Source organism: Homo sapiens, chromosome 3, assembly GCF_000001405.40.
Source record: "Homo sapiens chromosome 3, GRCh38.p14 Primary Assembly".
In the NCBI taxonomy this organism is placed as follows: Eukaryota; Metazoa; Chordata; class Mammalia; order Primates; family Hominidae; genus Homo; species Homo sapiens.
Window position 1 is genome coordinate 156,292,204 of NC_000003.12, and position 14,781 is coordinate 156,306,984.

Genomic DNA, 14,781 nt, shown 5'->3' on the forward strand with positions numbered 1-14,781 from the left:
GAAAAGTGATTTACTCATCAGTGGGTTGCTCACTTTAGAATTCTCAGGTGGTTCTAAAATAGCTCTTTAGGGGGATGAATAAACCCAGGGTGGTTGTGTGTGTAAAGATTTTTAAAAATGTGGCCCATTTTGTATAATTCTAAAGTCCTATGAACATTTTAGAAACTATGTACATTCCAGTCCCCAGAAAAAAACACAACTGCTGGAACTGGTATTTAGATCAGGATAGTTTTTCAGTAGCAAATGTGTTTGTTCTATTTTATGATAAAGACAGTAGTTTCTGGGATTATACTATCAGAAATAGTTTCTCATCTAGTACTGCTCTCTTATTTATCTTTTGTTTGTTTTGTTTGAGACAGAGTCTCGCTCTGTTGCCCAGGCTGGAGTGCAGTGGTGCGATCTGGGCTCTGTCGCCTGGGAAATAGCCTCCTGGGTTCAAGCGATTCTCCTGCCTTAACCTCCTGAGTAGCTGGAATTACAGGCACCTGCCACCACACCCGGCTCATTTTTTATGTTTTTAATAGAAAAGAGCTTTCACCATGTTGGCCAGGCTGGTCTCGAACTCCTGACCTCAAGTGATCCGCCGGCCTTGGCCTCCCAAAGTGCTGGGATTACAGGAGTAAACCACCGCGCCTGGCCTTATTTATCTTTTGAAAGACCAAGTTAACAAATGCTATACAAAGCTTTTTAAAGAAGCTTTGTTGCAGGAAAAACCACCTATATTGGTAAATTAGATTGAATAGCCATATTTAAGCCTAAATTACTGCTTGAAATTAAATGTAGACCTTGTGAAATATGGAGAAAATGTAAATTGTTGCAATTCTACTGGTTTCCTCATAAATTTTAAAGCTTCCTCATCCCCTATGTTGTTTTCCATAGTTGGAATCATCCTGGTAATAGTGGCTGCTCTAATAGGGCATGACTTACATTTGACAAGTAGAAAATTTCATTATTCAATTATGTGACTCCTGCCTCCTCATTACATTTGCTTTGTACCAAGTCCCTCTGACTTTATTTCTTTAAAACTACTGTGCTTCTAGTTTCTAAAAGTGTTTGTGAATGTAGAGGAGAGAAGCTACCAACACATCTTCCAAAAAACTTTGGTTACTTCAGTTTGCAGATATGATTTTGTTAATTGTCCATATCTAACTATCTCTTGTCTTTGTTAGGAACCAGGTTTTAGTTTAGGATGAAGTTAATGAAAATAATGCATAGGCAACATGTGTTTCTCATGTGAGGTTGCTGAAATAAGCATTTAAACCTGTTTTTATAAAAGTTGCCCTTGAAAAAATTTCTTTGCAGAGTTACAGGAAAGTTTCTCATTGCACAAACATCAAGCACTGTTATTTTGATATATGTTTGAGCCATTAAGAAAAAAAGTCCTTGGGTGGGAAAAAGCAAAACAACCATAACTAAAGCTCTTTACCCCAGCTGCAGTACAAATGTAAGCAGCCTGACTTAGGTCAACTCATTGAAGCATCAGCTGTGTGAGTGCCTTTGCTTTTCCTGATATCCCTGTGATGGAGAGAGTGGGGCACCACAATGACAGTTCTCTAAATGAGACTGTAGTCTTGAGTCCACTGATGTTTTCTATGGCTGCTGCTGTGGCACACACGCAGCCCCTGCCTTGTGGACACAGTGCTGCTCTGCATGCACTTCAGCTACTGAGATGGAGATGAGCAGCTGCTTTCCTGGGCAAGGTCCCCAGGAACAGGACCCTCCAGGGTTAAGGCAGATCACAGAAGGTGGTTTAAATTGTGGCCTCTAGTACTTTCGCAGCACTATGAACTTTCTTTTTGTAAATCAGAAGAAATCAAAAGTAAGACCACTAATTTCTTGAGGCAGAGTTTCATAGTTGCTTGATGATTGTGTTGGAAGAGTTTGCTCTTATGAAGGCCTTTGGAAGTCAGGAGATTTCCATTAAGGTTTTTCTGGTGGCACAGCTCAACTCATGTTGAGTGATAACTCTGCTTCCCAAAAGCTCAGAGTGTGAGCAAGGTTCGCTTGGGCACCTTTCATTACTGACAACTAAAGATAGTTCTCTAACAAAAAGTTAGCCACTGGGATCTTCGGTATATGTTGTTTCTTAAGGTAACTAAACAAGATGCCTCTTTTTCACTTGTGCTCATGTTCCAAGCCACTCTATCTGTAACAGTCAGGAGATTTGCCTGTGTGTGTGTGAATGTGACTTACTCTTCTGTTTCAGATTCTACTCTGAGTGACCTTTATGAAGGAGATTATGAGATTATGCCAAATGTACACCAAGCTTTCTTAGGGTTAAAAGGGGGAGGGAGACTAATTATATACTTTATAAAAAATGATAGAAGTAACTTTTATTAGCTAAATTATCCTTTTTTACATTGTTTTAACTAAAGTATAATGTGTATATATGGACTATTTGTTAATGATAACAAATAGCAGAATATACAAAAATAATGCCATAGAATAGGGAAGATAATTGGCTTAGGTAAGCAATCTGGAGAATGCCTGAAATAACTAAAATCGAAAGTTAGTAGTAGCTAATTGTGGTCACAATTTCATCCTTGAAAATGGTTTTCATAGGCAGAGCTTTAAAGGGGATCCCTAAATCCAACAGAAGATTTTTTAAAAAGTCTTTTTGTTCATTTTTCTGAGGAAAGGGTTTATAGCTTTCACCAGAATTTGAAAATGGTCTACAACTCAAAAACTGTCAAACAGCAATGTTGCCTAGTGAAGAGGTACTCATTTAGTCAGCATAGTCAATAAATATTTGCTGAGCACCTATTCTATATCAGGAACCTCACTCAACTGGTACACAAAGGTGCAGAAGCCAGGTGAAGTCTGGGGCTAAAGTACAAGTTGAAGAAACAGACCATAAATAACAAAACAAACAAACAAGCAAACAAACAAATAACATAATTGTCTAATAGAAGATATTCCTATGAAGTTATTTTTTTTTGGAGGGGTGATAGTCATGCTTGGGCCAACTTAGTTGATCCATTTTGAAGTTACCAACTCTGCTTCAGTTCCAGAATTAATGATTGCATCTTGGGGCATGAGTAATTGTGCGTATGTCTGCCACCCATTTTGCTATCCAGAGACTTCTTTAAGGTATATGGTGCTACCTGGCAGCTGAGGACCTACTTGTAACCCTGATAAATAGGTATAATGCCTTCTACTTATATAATGCCTTATGATTTTTAAAGCCAACTAATATAACAGCCTATGTTTACCACCCATTAATCAATAACTCACAAAACTGAGATTTTAGAAAGAATTAATGTATACTTGTGCAAAACCTCTGAATTCTGCAAAATAAAATGCTTAAAGGCACTATTATATTCACACCATCATTGTATAAGAATATTGCATAAAACTGGTTATTGTTTGAAGGCAGAAGATAAAAAAAATCTACTAGAACATTCTGGCATTCCAAAGCTACTGTCAGCCCAAGAGAACAAGATTCCACCTAATGTTTATACTGAGGACTATCCTGTATGTAAATAACACAGGATTATTCCTTTCCTTAGAGGGCTTTTTTTTCCAATACAGATTATTTGTATATATTTATGGGGTACATGTGATATTATATATTACATGCATAGAATGTGTAATGATCAAGTCAGGGTATTTAGGGTACACATTACCATCAGTATTTATCATTTCTATGTATTGGGAATATTTCAAGTCCTCTCTTCTAGCTATTTTGAAATATACAATACGTTATTGTTAATTATAGTCAGTCTACTCTGCTATCAAACATTAGAACTTATTTCTTCTATATCACTATGTGTTTGTACCCATTAACCAAACTCTTCATCATTTCACTCTCAGAGTTTCATAGTTGTGCTTTGTTAGTGCATGAAAGTTCCTTTGTTCTATTTTTATGTCTATTTTTAATCTCAGATTTCATTACACTGTGTTAGTTTGGTGTACACTCTACAACCATACATGATAGATTTACACATGATAGATGTAGGTATATACATGAATCTTTCATCCTAAGAAGAGCAAATCATTCAGGACAGAAGTTAAGGCACATTGGGTTGTTTTTGTTTGGTTGGTTTGGGTTTTGTTTTTTTAAATAACTTTTTGGAATGATCCAGCTACCAGTGTTTGACATGGTCTCAGAGCTTCTGTCATTCAGAATTGAGCACGTTTGTACTGATAAACTCCCTCCTCCTCATTCTGAAATTGTTATTTTAGTTTTAGAACATTGGCATATGATGGGCCCCATTTCATTGAAAACAATCTTTAAATTCCACTAAAAACTTCAACTCCCCCCCCCCCCACCTTTTTTTTTTTTTTTGAGATGGAGTCTCGCTCTGTAGCGCAGGCTGGAGGGCAGTGGCGCCGTCTCAGCTCACTGCAAGGTCCGCCTCCTGGGTTCATGCCATTCTCCTGCCTCAGCCTCCCGAGTAGCTGGGACTACAGGTGCCCACCACCATGCCTGGCTAATGTTTTATATTTTTAGTAGAGATGGGGTTTCACCGTGTTAGCCAGGATGATCTCAATCTCCTGACCTCGTGATCCGCCCACCTCGGCCTCCCAAAGTGCTGGAATTACAGGCGTGAGCCACCGTGCCCGGCCAACTTTTTCCCCATTTTTAAAGTTAACTACCATTAAAATTGTTTTTGAAATAATTATAAATTTACAGAAGTTTGCAAAGAAAAGAAGTACAGGGAATTTCCATATGCCCTTAATTTCTCCAGTGGTTAAGCATGCCTGCTTAACTATATAGCATGATAGCAAAACCAGGAAATTGATGATCCATATGGTTTGGTACAATCCATAGGATTTATTCCGATTTTACCAGTTATACATGTATTCATTTTTGTCTGCATGTTGTATGCCTATGTATATTTATCACATGTATAGATTTGTGTAACCACCACCACAATGAAGAATCAAAATTGTTCCATCATCACAGGGCTCCCTCATGTTACCCATTTCTGTCCACATCCACTCCCCCTTCTCCAATTTCTAATCTTGGGTAACCATTAATCTTCAAGTCATCTCTGAAATTTTATTGTTTCAAGAATATAAATGGCATAACACAGTATGTATTGAGGTTGGCTTTTTTTTTTTTTTTTTTTTTTTTTTACTCAGAGGGTTTGTACAGGGAAGTGGTGAGAAAGAATCTTGTAGTGGTGAAAAGAGATTGGAATATGGCTCCATGGAGGGTAAGATATTTAGACACGAGGGAACATCAGCAATGGAGGGACCAGTAAGGATTTTTAAGCAAGATGTCTGCTTACAAAGTTCTGTTAAGAAAGGATTAATCTGGCAGTTGTTCCAGAAAAAAAAAAATTAAGAGTTGTAGCTATGGAATAAGAAAATTTATGTTAAATTCCATGGCACTCTCTACTTTCCTATAGAGAGTCAGGACTATATGCAAAAGACTCAGACCAGATACCAGATGCCTTTCCCATGCCATTCCTTTCAGAGCCTTTTTATTAAAGCACATGTCACAGTCACCATTCTTTACCTCCCACGAATGGTGGGTAGTTTTTGAATTAAAACAATTCAACTGAAAGATCAATCTTGTCAGCCAATTATGTAAAAGGCACTTAGCGCGTGTGTGTGTGTGTGCGCGTGTGCTCGTGTGCGTGTGTGTGTGCATGCAAGTCTCCGTATGGGGAAAAGTGGGAGGAAATAGGTGGGCTGAAGAGGAGGAAAAGGAGAGCTAGCTCTGTGGCTGTGTTTCAAACAGAAATATTTGATTTTAGTCCAGAAAAAAAGAGCAGTTTGGTTATTTGAAATGCCAAGTTTCTTGGTTTATTTTTGGGTTTTGTTATTGTTTTTTGGTAAAGAATACCGTTGTCATTTCCACTGACACCCATGGGTATGGGCTTTCCTCTCTGCCTTAAAGTAAAATGGTGAGAATGGGGAGGTGGAAGAGCCTTCCTAAAAATTAACTGCTGATTCAATCTCATAGAGTTTATTCCACCTCTGCAAGGCAGCAGTCAGAAGTCTGGCATCCATGGGATGGTGAGAAAATGGTAGGAGGGGAGGGAGCCTCCTGGAAGTTATTACGCAAACATTGTTCCAGTTCTATGGTTCTGGAAGTGTGTGTGGGGGCTGTGGGGCTGTGTATGTGTGTGTGTGCATGCATGCATGTGCGCACGTGGACGTGAAGGAGTCTGAAGAGTTTCCGGAAACGGCTAGTTTTCTAGCTGCAATCTTCAGTTTGGTTGTTACACATGGAGTCCTTAATCCCACATCCACTCAATGACCCTCTTTAGAAGTACACTCATTTTAAAGAAATTCTTTTTTAAAAATTCTGCAAACATTTCAATTTATGGTAATTTGAGAAATGTTCTGAAAGGAGAAAAAAATCCCATCACATTCAAAAGGAAAATCAGATTCCTAAATTTCACTTTGATTTTTAAAATTCCTTTCATCAAATTCATAGTCTATCTTTAGTATATCAATTTATGAACAGTATGAGATTTGGATTCAGTGAATTTGATCAAAATATAGGACTCTTAATTTATTTGAGTACCCTTTAAAAACTTTTTTAGGAGAGAAAAGTCTCTTATGAGAAGAATTCAGTAGCATCAATTCATACTTTTTCTTGAAGAATTTCAAAGCCATTCAGATAAATAGCTATTAGGCATCATAAGAAGATTCGATATTGCAAGTTAATCATATTGTATGCTTAAAGACATTTTTGTAACCAGTTTTTCACTTTTTTAAGAATTAGAAATAGAGTGATTGAGTCTGGAATTCAAGGCAAAAGTCCTTTAAATTTTCATTTCAATATTGAGAATTATTAATACTATGTGATCACCAGAAATAAGAGAGTTAGCAATGGTTGTTGGTGAGGGAACTCAAGACGCCATCTAGTACAGTTACTTTGTTTTATATAGATTGGCCAGTTAGTTCCTTGGTCAGAGTTACCCATGAAGTTGGGCAGAGGGCCAAGGCCAAAGTGAGGTCCTGACTCCAAGGGCAGAGTTCCTTATGCTCCTTTCGCTTCCACATTGCAGCTTCTTGGGTAGGCCCCATTTTTCAACACAGGAAAGAAGCACAGCACATGCAACACTTCTAGAAAGGACAATTCCCTTCTCTACATAGGCAGAATTTGCAGCCCAAGCTTTTATCTCTGGAAGTAGCAAAGCCATGCTGTGTGCTGAGAGAGCCAGACCAACTTTCTCCATCTCCTGTAGAGCCATGAGGACCCCACAGTGCTGCCACAGAGGCTCTTCACTGGTACATGTTCTGAAGTTGGACATAAATTAACTTCCAGATGATAGCATGCTTAGCATCACAGTGTCTAAAGCACAGGCTTCTCAGGAAGAGATCTACAAAACCATAGGCATATATGATTGAACATTGCCACATGTAACACTGGACAGGAAATGCTCATTTGGGCATTCTGTGCTGAACATACTTAACTCTCCTGTATGCATTTAGAGATTACTTTGAAAGCTTGCTCCTGAAAGTCGAAATCAAACACATTTAAAATTCCTTACTGCAGGTTGATTTTCATTTACCCAGATTGGAAACCAAAACAGAAGCCCAGCAGTGATTTTTTTTTTCTTGGAATCGACAGCTAGGGAGGACTCTGAGAGCATTCACACAGGCCATCTGGTCTAGCCCTCATGAGAAATCTGTCCTGTTTTTCCAATTTGCACTGTGCAGCAACTACTTGTAAAGGCCTCTAAAGAAATATTGTATAATCTTTCACAGCAGTCATGAAAAAATTTGGCTCTTCTTTTTGAGAATCAGAATCATTCATTCAGCTCTAAAGTCCTCAGAGGAAGTGATAAGGTGAGGGTTTTCAGAATTGTTGTCTATTGCCTGGACTCCAACAGTCAAGTCAGGGAGAAAAATGAATATAAAAGATTAAAAAACAAGAAACCAAGGGCACAGCAACAAGACAAAGGAGGCACGTGTGGCATACAGAGGACTCCCACTTCCTTCTGATACCTGGGGAGGGAGATTCTCTCCCATTCTCATCCCAGCACCTGTTCATCAGATCTGGCCTGACTGTTCTACTACGAAACCATCCAAGGTAAAAAAAAATACTTCCCAATCACAAAATTCCTCTTTGCAATTGACTCGGCTTCTTTAAAGCTGCATCGGAAACTTCTTGTCCTGTCCTCTGTTGACGTGAAAATGAGCTAACTATAATTTTCTGCCTCATAAGGTTGCTGGTACTTGAAAACCGTTACTACAACTCAGCTTCCTAATTTCCAGAACGATACCAGCAGTTTTCTCCTAGATTTCATTTTCTGACTCCCAACTGTAACTATAACTCTCATTCAAACCCTCTATACAATGTCTATCTCTTCTTTCAGTCACTCAGTGCTGGATACAATTCCAAGTCAAAGTCTAGACTTTTCAGTATAGAATAGCAAGATTGGCTAATAACAGAAACATGGTATGTCCTTTCGTCTGCATGCCCTGGTCATGCTTCCTGTTTTAGAAGGAAAAAAAATGTTTTTCATATTTTGAATTATTCTATGAAACAATTTCTGTAAAACATTAAAAAAAAATCCTAACCTATTTATTAGAGTAATGGGGGATGACTATGCTGACACATAGCAATTCTTATGAGATATCAACTCGAAAAATTATAATGGTGACAGTTGAAGTTTCTTGGGTTAAAGAAATATGAAAAGGCCAAATTTGATGTATAGGTTTCAATGATAGTTGAGTATCCAGGTAGAAAGCTAACAACTTGTACTGTGATTAATTTGCTTTTTGATATATTCTTATAGATAATTTATTTTTAACATAGGAGGTTTAAATATAAATGCAACTGTATATGACTGCTATGATTAACAAGAAAAATTTTCTGTATGGGTAATTAACATCTTATAGGAGAATGCCCATGGAGGGGCTCAACTCCAGAAATTACAAGCACCGAGCTCCTCATGATTAGTTCATATCTACTGGAAAGCCCATCTGGTTTAACAGAGCTCTTATGTAAGAAATGCAAGATTTTTCCTGAGGAGCACATGCTAATAAGCTTCCTCTTTTCCATTAGCTTCCTCTTTAAACTAGGTTTTTATGTTTTGTTTTTTTTTTAAAATGTCTTTGGCCTGAGACCACAACAACAACCTTGTTATAAAAATCAACTGCGTAAATAACATGGCTTTAATGAATGCTACTCTCTTTCAACTCAAGAATCAGCAAAGAATTCCTCTGAGGCATTTGAGGAAAATAAACCTTTTGACTCACTACTCAATTTCCTATCTGTATATGCACAAGCACGTCTGCATGATAGTGTCCGTGCATTTACTTTAAAAAACTGAAAATGTTCAGAAGAAATCTTAGCAGCCTGATTTCAGAAGGTTTTCATCTTGATGAAGAACATATTTGTTTCATTTTAATGAAGAGAAAATAAATGAACTGCTACTCTAAAGAGACCCAAATAGAAAGGAGTTGGGAAATCCATGGTCTAACATACAACGTCTCACTCAATAATGGCTTATATTTCATTTCCAAGGAAGGAGTTTAAGGTTTCACTTTCACTCAAATACAGTTTCTCCAGAAGTGATCTTTTGGAAATCAAGAGGCTTGGATCTTAGTTCATAAAAGTTTGGGATAATTCCTTAATGAGAAAAACAAGTGGACATTTGCCAGAGAACTCCAAATTTCACCAGATATTTTTTCCTGAGGGCTTCAGCAGGACCTTCCGTGGGTTCTGTTTCAAAACAAGAGGTAATTTTTTAAAAGGGGGTACAGCAAGTATCCTTAAGAAGCAAAGCTGTAAATTTCACACTGTATTGGTTTCCTCTTGCTGCTACAACAGATTTCCACAAAATTAGTGTCTTAAACTAACACAGATGTATTATTTCATAATTCTGGAGGTCCAAAGTCTAAATTTAAAGTGTCAGCAAAGCTCCTTTTCTCTGGAGGCTTCTGGTTGGAAATCCATTTCCTTGCCTTTTTCGGCTTCTAGAGGTTACCTGCATTCCTTGACTCTTTCCTCCATCTTCAAAGCACATCATTCTAATCTCCAGTTCTGTCTTCACGTCTCTTTTTTTCTCACTTCGATTCTCCTGCCTGCCTCTTAAAGGACTGCTGTGATAACATCGAGCCCACCTAGGTAATCCAGCAAATCTCCTCACCTCAGAATCCTTAATTAATTCCACCTACACTGTCCCTTTTACCATAGAAGGTAATATGTGCGCAGTTTCCAGGAATTAGGACATAGACGTCTTTCATGGGCCAGTATACAGCCTGCCACCCATATCATGCAAAAAATGTTATATGGGAGAGGGGAGAGTTAAAGGAACCCTAAAGTATCAAGCATCATATCCCCAACACTTTTTCTAGAATCCAAGACTTGTCCAGGTGAAGCAAGGCAGCAAAAAGAATAATGGGATCATTGAAAATGCTGAGTGCTGGGGATTTTCTCTGAGTAAGGCTACAGCTTGGGTTTTGAATCAGAAATAAAACTCTCATTTACATTGTGTGGCTACAGTGTGGTAAAGTTTAAAGTTTTATCTTGGCCTTTGCAATTATTATTACAGCAGCTACTATCTGAATCTGCTCTGCTTCCCTCAGCCCCTCACTAACACCTACGAGGAGTATCTCTTTTTTCTTTTTTTGCTACCAAGACCTAAGTACAAACTAAATTAAGGGGTCAACATTAATTGAAAATCAATGGACAGCCACAAAGACCAAGCTGTAATTAAAATGCTCATGACTTAAAAATATATCTACCTCCAAATTTCATGACTGTAATCAGTGAGATATGGGAATAGAACTTCTTTCTAGCACTTGGGATCATGGGAGATGAAGCAGCGCATTCCCAGTGCATCTGGGAGGCTCTGTTCACATCACAGAATAGACCTTAACCCTTCCATAAAACTCACGCTGTCCCTGCTTTGTTCACATTGTCATAGCAGTGTTGTGGAGGAGAAAAGAAGGAGTTTATTATGACACACATTTTCAAATGTTTTAAATCTGATGTAGTTTCCCCTCTGTGAAGTTCTGTCTCACATGCCAATAGAAAAGCCTGGGTGTTCCCCAGTTCTTTCCAAAGACCTACAGCTCTCTTATCACTGCCTAGAATACTGGGCTTTGAAGGTTATACTCTTGATTTCAAATCATTTAAGTCTATATACTCTCTCTTGGCATGCAAGCAAAAGTACCAGATTGCATTATATCTGGGGAGAAATATTAGTGGTTACAAATCAAAGTGAGTTAGGAAAAGAGTTTTCTGGAAATTCAGAAATCAGGAGACTCAAGAGTTAAAACTCAACCTTTGCCTATAATTTAGTCTCTTGTGGCCAGATATTGTTTCCTGGAGGCTGTAAGAGACACAATGCTTGAGTAAGATGGAAATGAGGAAATGGCTCCTGGGGGACCTTGCTGATTGTGAACTCTGCTACCACCCTGACCTATAGTCTGGGAAGCAAAGCATGGGTTAGAATGCAATAATGGAGGAAGTCATTCTAAAATAGGGATAGGAGGATATTGCTCTAGAACCCCTCACAGGGCTAGGTAACTCCCCATGCACTTTCAGCTAGGTGGCATCATCTTTATATAGATAGGGCAGTGTATTTAGAGTCAACAGTGCACATCAAGCCCCTCTAGTACTACACTGAGGATAGTAAGGGGAAGAGCCTGACCTACTTTGCTGTCTTCCAAATTACTATCACCAGGGTCTGTATTCTGACTTAGAAAAGACATTTTGCTTGGGCCTAATGCAAATACAACAATGAAAATGTTGGTTCATGTTGACAGTAGAAAAGAAAAATAAGCAAATCGAAGTCTGCATATTTATTCTGCAGATGGATTCTGCCTGATTACAAGTCATTGATGATCATTAATGAAGCAAATGTGATGAGGTTAGTGTTTTTCAATTTCATTTCTTAGCAGCAAGGCAGTACTATCACACGACAATATCACTGAGAAAGTATTTGGCCTTACTTTAATAATGATTAATTTTAGAAATAGAACATTCGTAAAATGTTAGTTTATCATTTTGCTTGTTAGTATTCATGTTAAGGATATTAGCACAGTCTCTACTTATTTTGAGATAGAAATACTTTGGGGACAGGGTTTGACAAAAGACAAATGCTAATTATCAGAATGTCTGAATAACATTCTTTGCCAGTAAAATCATTCTTTATGCTGATTACCTCATGTCAACATCCAAACTAAGGGAATGAATAGTTTAACTACTATTATTTTATCCTTGAGAAAAACTCTGAAGGGGGAAGCAAGCGATGTTATGCCCATTTTAAGTTACCGCAACTGAGGCACAACATAAACAGAACTTAATGGTATATTATGTAGTCTAAATTATTGGACTTTTGATATCAATTCTAAGTTCAGACAGCTTCTGGCCTACTTCCTGTTATACTGACCAGCGTATGTTTATACTAATAGTGACTCAGGATTAAAAGGAATGTAATATTGGCAAATGACATTTCTGAACAAGGTTTTAATTTCCCTTGTTGGCATGTGGCAGTGGAATGTCCCCCATAATTACTCTGCTGAGAAAACCAGGGCAGAGGCAGGACTGGAGCAGTGTGGTGGTACAAAGAACATGCACTAAAGAGTTCAGGACTGATGCCAGAATCCAGAGGCTAACGGAAGGTTCAGCAGCCATTGCGGTTTTTTGTTTTTGGCAGTTCAAGCTATTAGAAATCTGCCTCAAGGGAGGAATAAAAGCATCATCAGGTGTTAATAGGTAAATTAATATCAAGCTTAAAGAAGTAAGAGATACTTTGAAGATGATTTTTATGGCAAGTATTTATCCTACATGTTTAGTCCATAATTTATATCGAGTATGTGAATGTGTGTGTGATGTGCGCTAAGGTGCACACACATACATGAGGTCATAGGGGTGAATGGCTCGGTGGAAGCATGGCATACTAGCTAAAGGGACTCGAGTATCAGTTTACTTCACTTTGTCTTTACTACCAGTATCTGTAAGATGGACTTGGTAATCTTTTTCAAGAGTTTCAGGATTGTTTTCATAATTGCAAGCGACCATATACCTGAAGTACCAATTACTATCCATTAAAATTGTCATTAATATCAGTATTAGCATAGAATGGGACAAATAGACAAGAAAAAAATTAAGTTCTGTGAACATATGATATCTTTGCAATAGGTCTTGTTATTTAGCTTTGTATGTGCATGGCTTCAAAATATTCCTGTTTTAATCATCCCCAGTCCTAGCACGGTGGCTTGGTATGTTGTAGGTGATCAATAAAGGATTGCAGGATGGATGAATGGATGCATGAGTGATCCAGTTTTCATAAGCTTCAAAGTCTTCTGTGGGATTGCATTACAATACAACCCTTTTGCTTTCCAGTGCAGGCTTAATTCTCTATGAGACTTGTCCTCTTCACATTCACGATGGGCTTCTTTCCTTTGGAAATAGGAATCCTATCTGTTCTTGACCTTGGTTACTGAATAGCCTGACCTATCCTTGGTGTCCCCCAAATTATTCTGCCATAATGACTGGAAACTAATAGTTGTACACAGTTTCTGTTATATCTACTTACACCCAGCCTTGTTCCAGAAAAGAATTTAAGGTGGCTCTCAAATTTGCATAGGTTACAAAAGAAAAGAAACCTAAAAACAACAGAGACAGGAGTCAAGGATGCTTGTGACAATTCATCCTACTATTTAGACACTAAAGAGCACACATGTCCTCAAGAAACATTTCCTGGTCATTGTCTGGGTAGTTGCAAAAGAGAAAGTGGAGCTGTGTGTGGGGTCCTTGGGAGACAATTGTGCAGGGACTGCTTGAGTCTTTGTTTTTGTTGGTCTGCTAAGAATGTGGGTCAGCATAAGGTAGCGATTCCTGAACTTATCACTTGATCCTTTACAAAGAGGGGGCAATGGAAGCAACATGGCTTGTGAAACTGTATTCCTTAAAGTAGTGAACAGATCAAGTAACAAAAAGAGAATATCTGCGTGGAAGCTATACAGTGGGGGCAAGTTATTGATATTGATACTTACAGGTTAGTATTGATCAATTAAAAAAAGTGATGTAACTATTCCAAAACTCTTAGAAAAACATGGATTTTGAGTGTTGATCTGATGTGGTGCACAGAAGGAGCTGAGTTTTCCCTGTGTGGCATGTTCAGTGACTCTGGCCTTTTCTCAAGGGGTGCAGTAGCCAGGAGACTGAATAGTCCAGGACTAGGCAGCAGGGCCACTTGAAATCCCAACTCCAAGTCCATTCACCAGGACCTGCAAAGAGCTACAACCTTTTCTTCGAGGTTGCATGAAGAAAGATGGGATCCTCCAGTTTGGTTGTACTGGGGTAAGTTTGGTGAGACCATTTGAAGATATTAACATGTGGTGTTCCTCCCTGCATCTCTTCACTTTACTACATTCAAGCAAGTAGCTTATGTAGTATTCTGCAAATACGTCCTTATTTGCAGAAAGTGTGTTTTCGGTGTCCAGATGTCTAAGTCCATTACAGAGAGTCAGGTTTGAAAGAAAAGGCATTTCCCAGATTAAGCTGAGATTCTGCTGGTTTGGTGGGAAGTCTGTGGGTCCCATGAGCCTTGCTCCCTGCAGCGTCCAAGGCACGTGATGGCCCTGTGGACATGGCCCTGTGACAGTGGAGAGACTGGATCCCCAGCTAGGGGTTTCCAACCTCTCCCAAGTTCTGCGAAGCCCCTGGTGTGGCTTGAAAGCAGCAGAACTGAGGACCATGTGGTCTGGGACAGCCATAGACAGATGACCAATGATGGGCAGAATCATCTGTAATCACGTGGTAAACATGGACAGAATTCCCTGACGCTGAAGAGTCTAAGACCCTGGGACCTTGACCCAATCTCAGCAGCATCAGCATGGAGGGAGGCGGTG

The 14,781-nt window shown here is 38.7% G+C and overlaps 1 protein-coding gene across 8 annotated transcripts in view; it reads left to right on the top strand.

The window, feature by feature from the left end:
* KCNAB1 (potassium voltage-gated channel subfamily A regulatory beta subunit 1) overlaps positions 1-14,781 on the top strand; it is a 420,928-nt gene that overhangs the window by 173,993 nt on the left and 232,154 nt on the right. Inside the window, exon 1 of one of the 8 annotated variants that reach the window (XM_011513115.4) lies at positions 5,084-11,792. The exons of the other annotated variants lie outside the window; for them this stretch is intronic. Within the exon in view, the coding sequence (XP_011511417.1) occupies positions 11,764-11,792 (29 nt within the window). The 5' untranslated portion in view covers positions 5,084-11,763. Of the gene's footprint in view, positions 1-5,083; positions 11,793-14,781 lie in introns of those variants that run through there. 8 annotated transcript variants of the gene reach the window in all.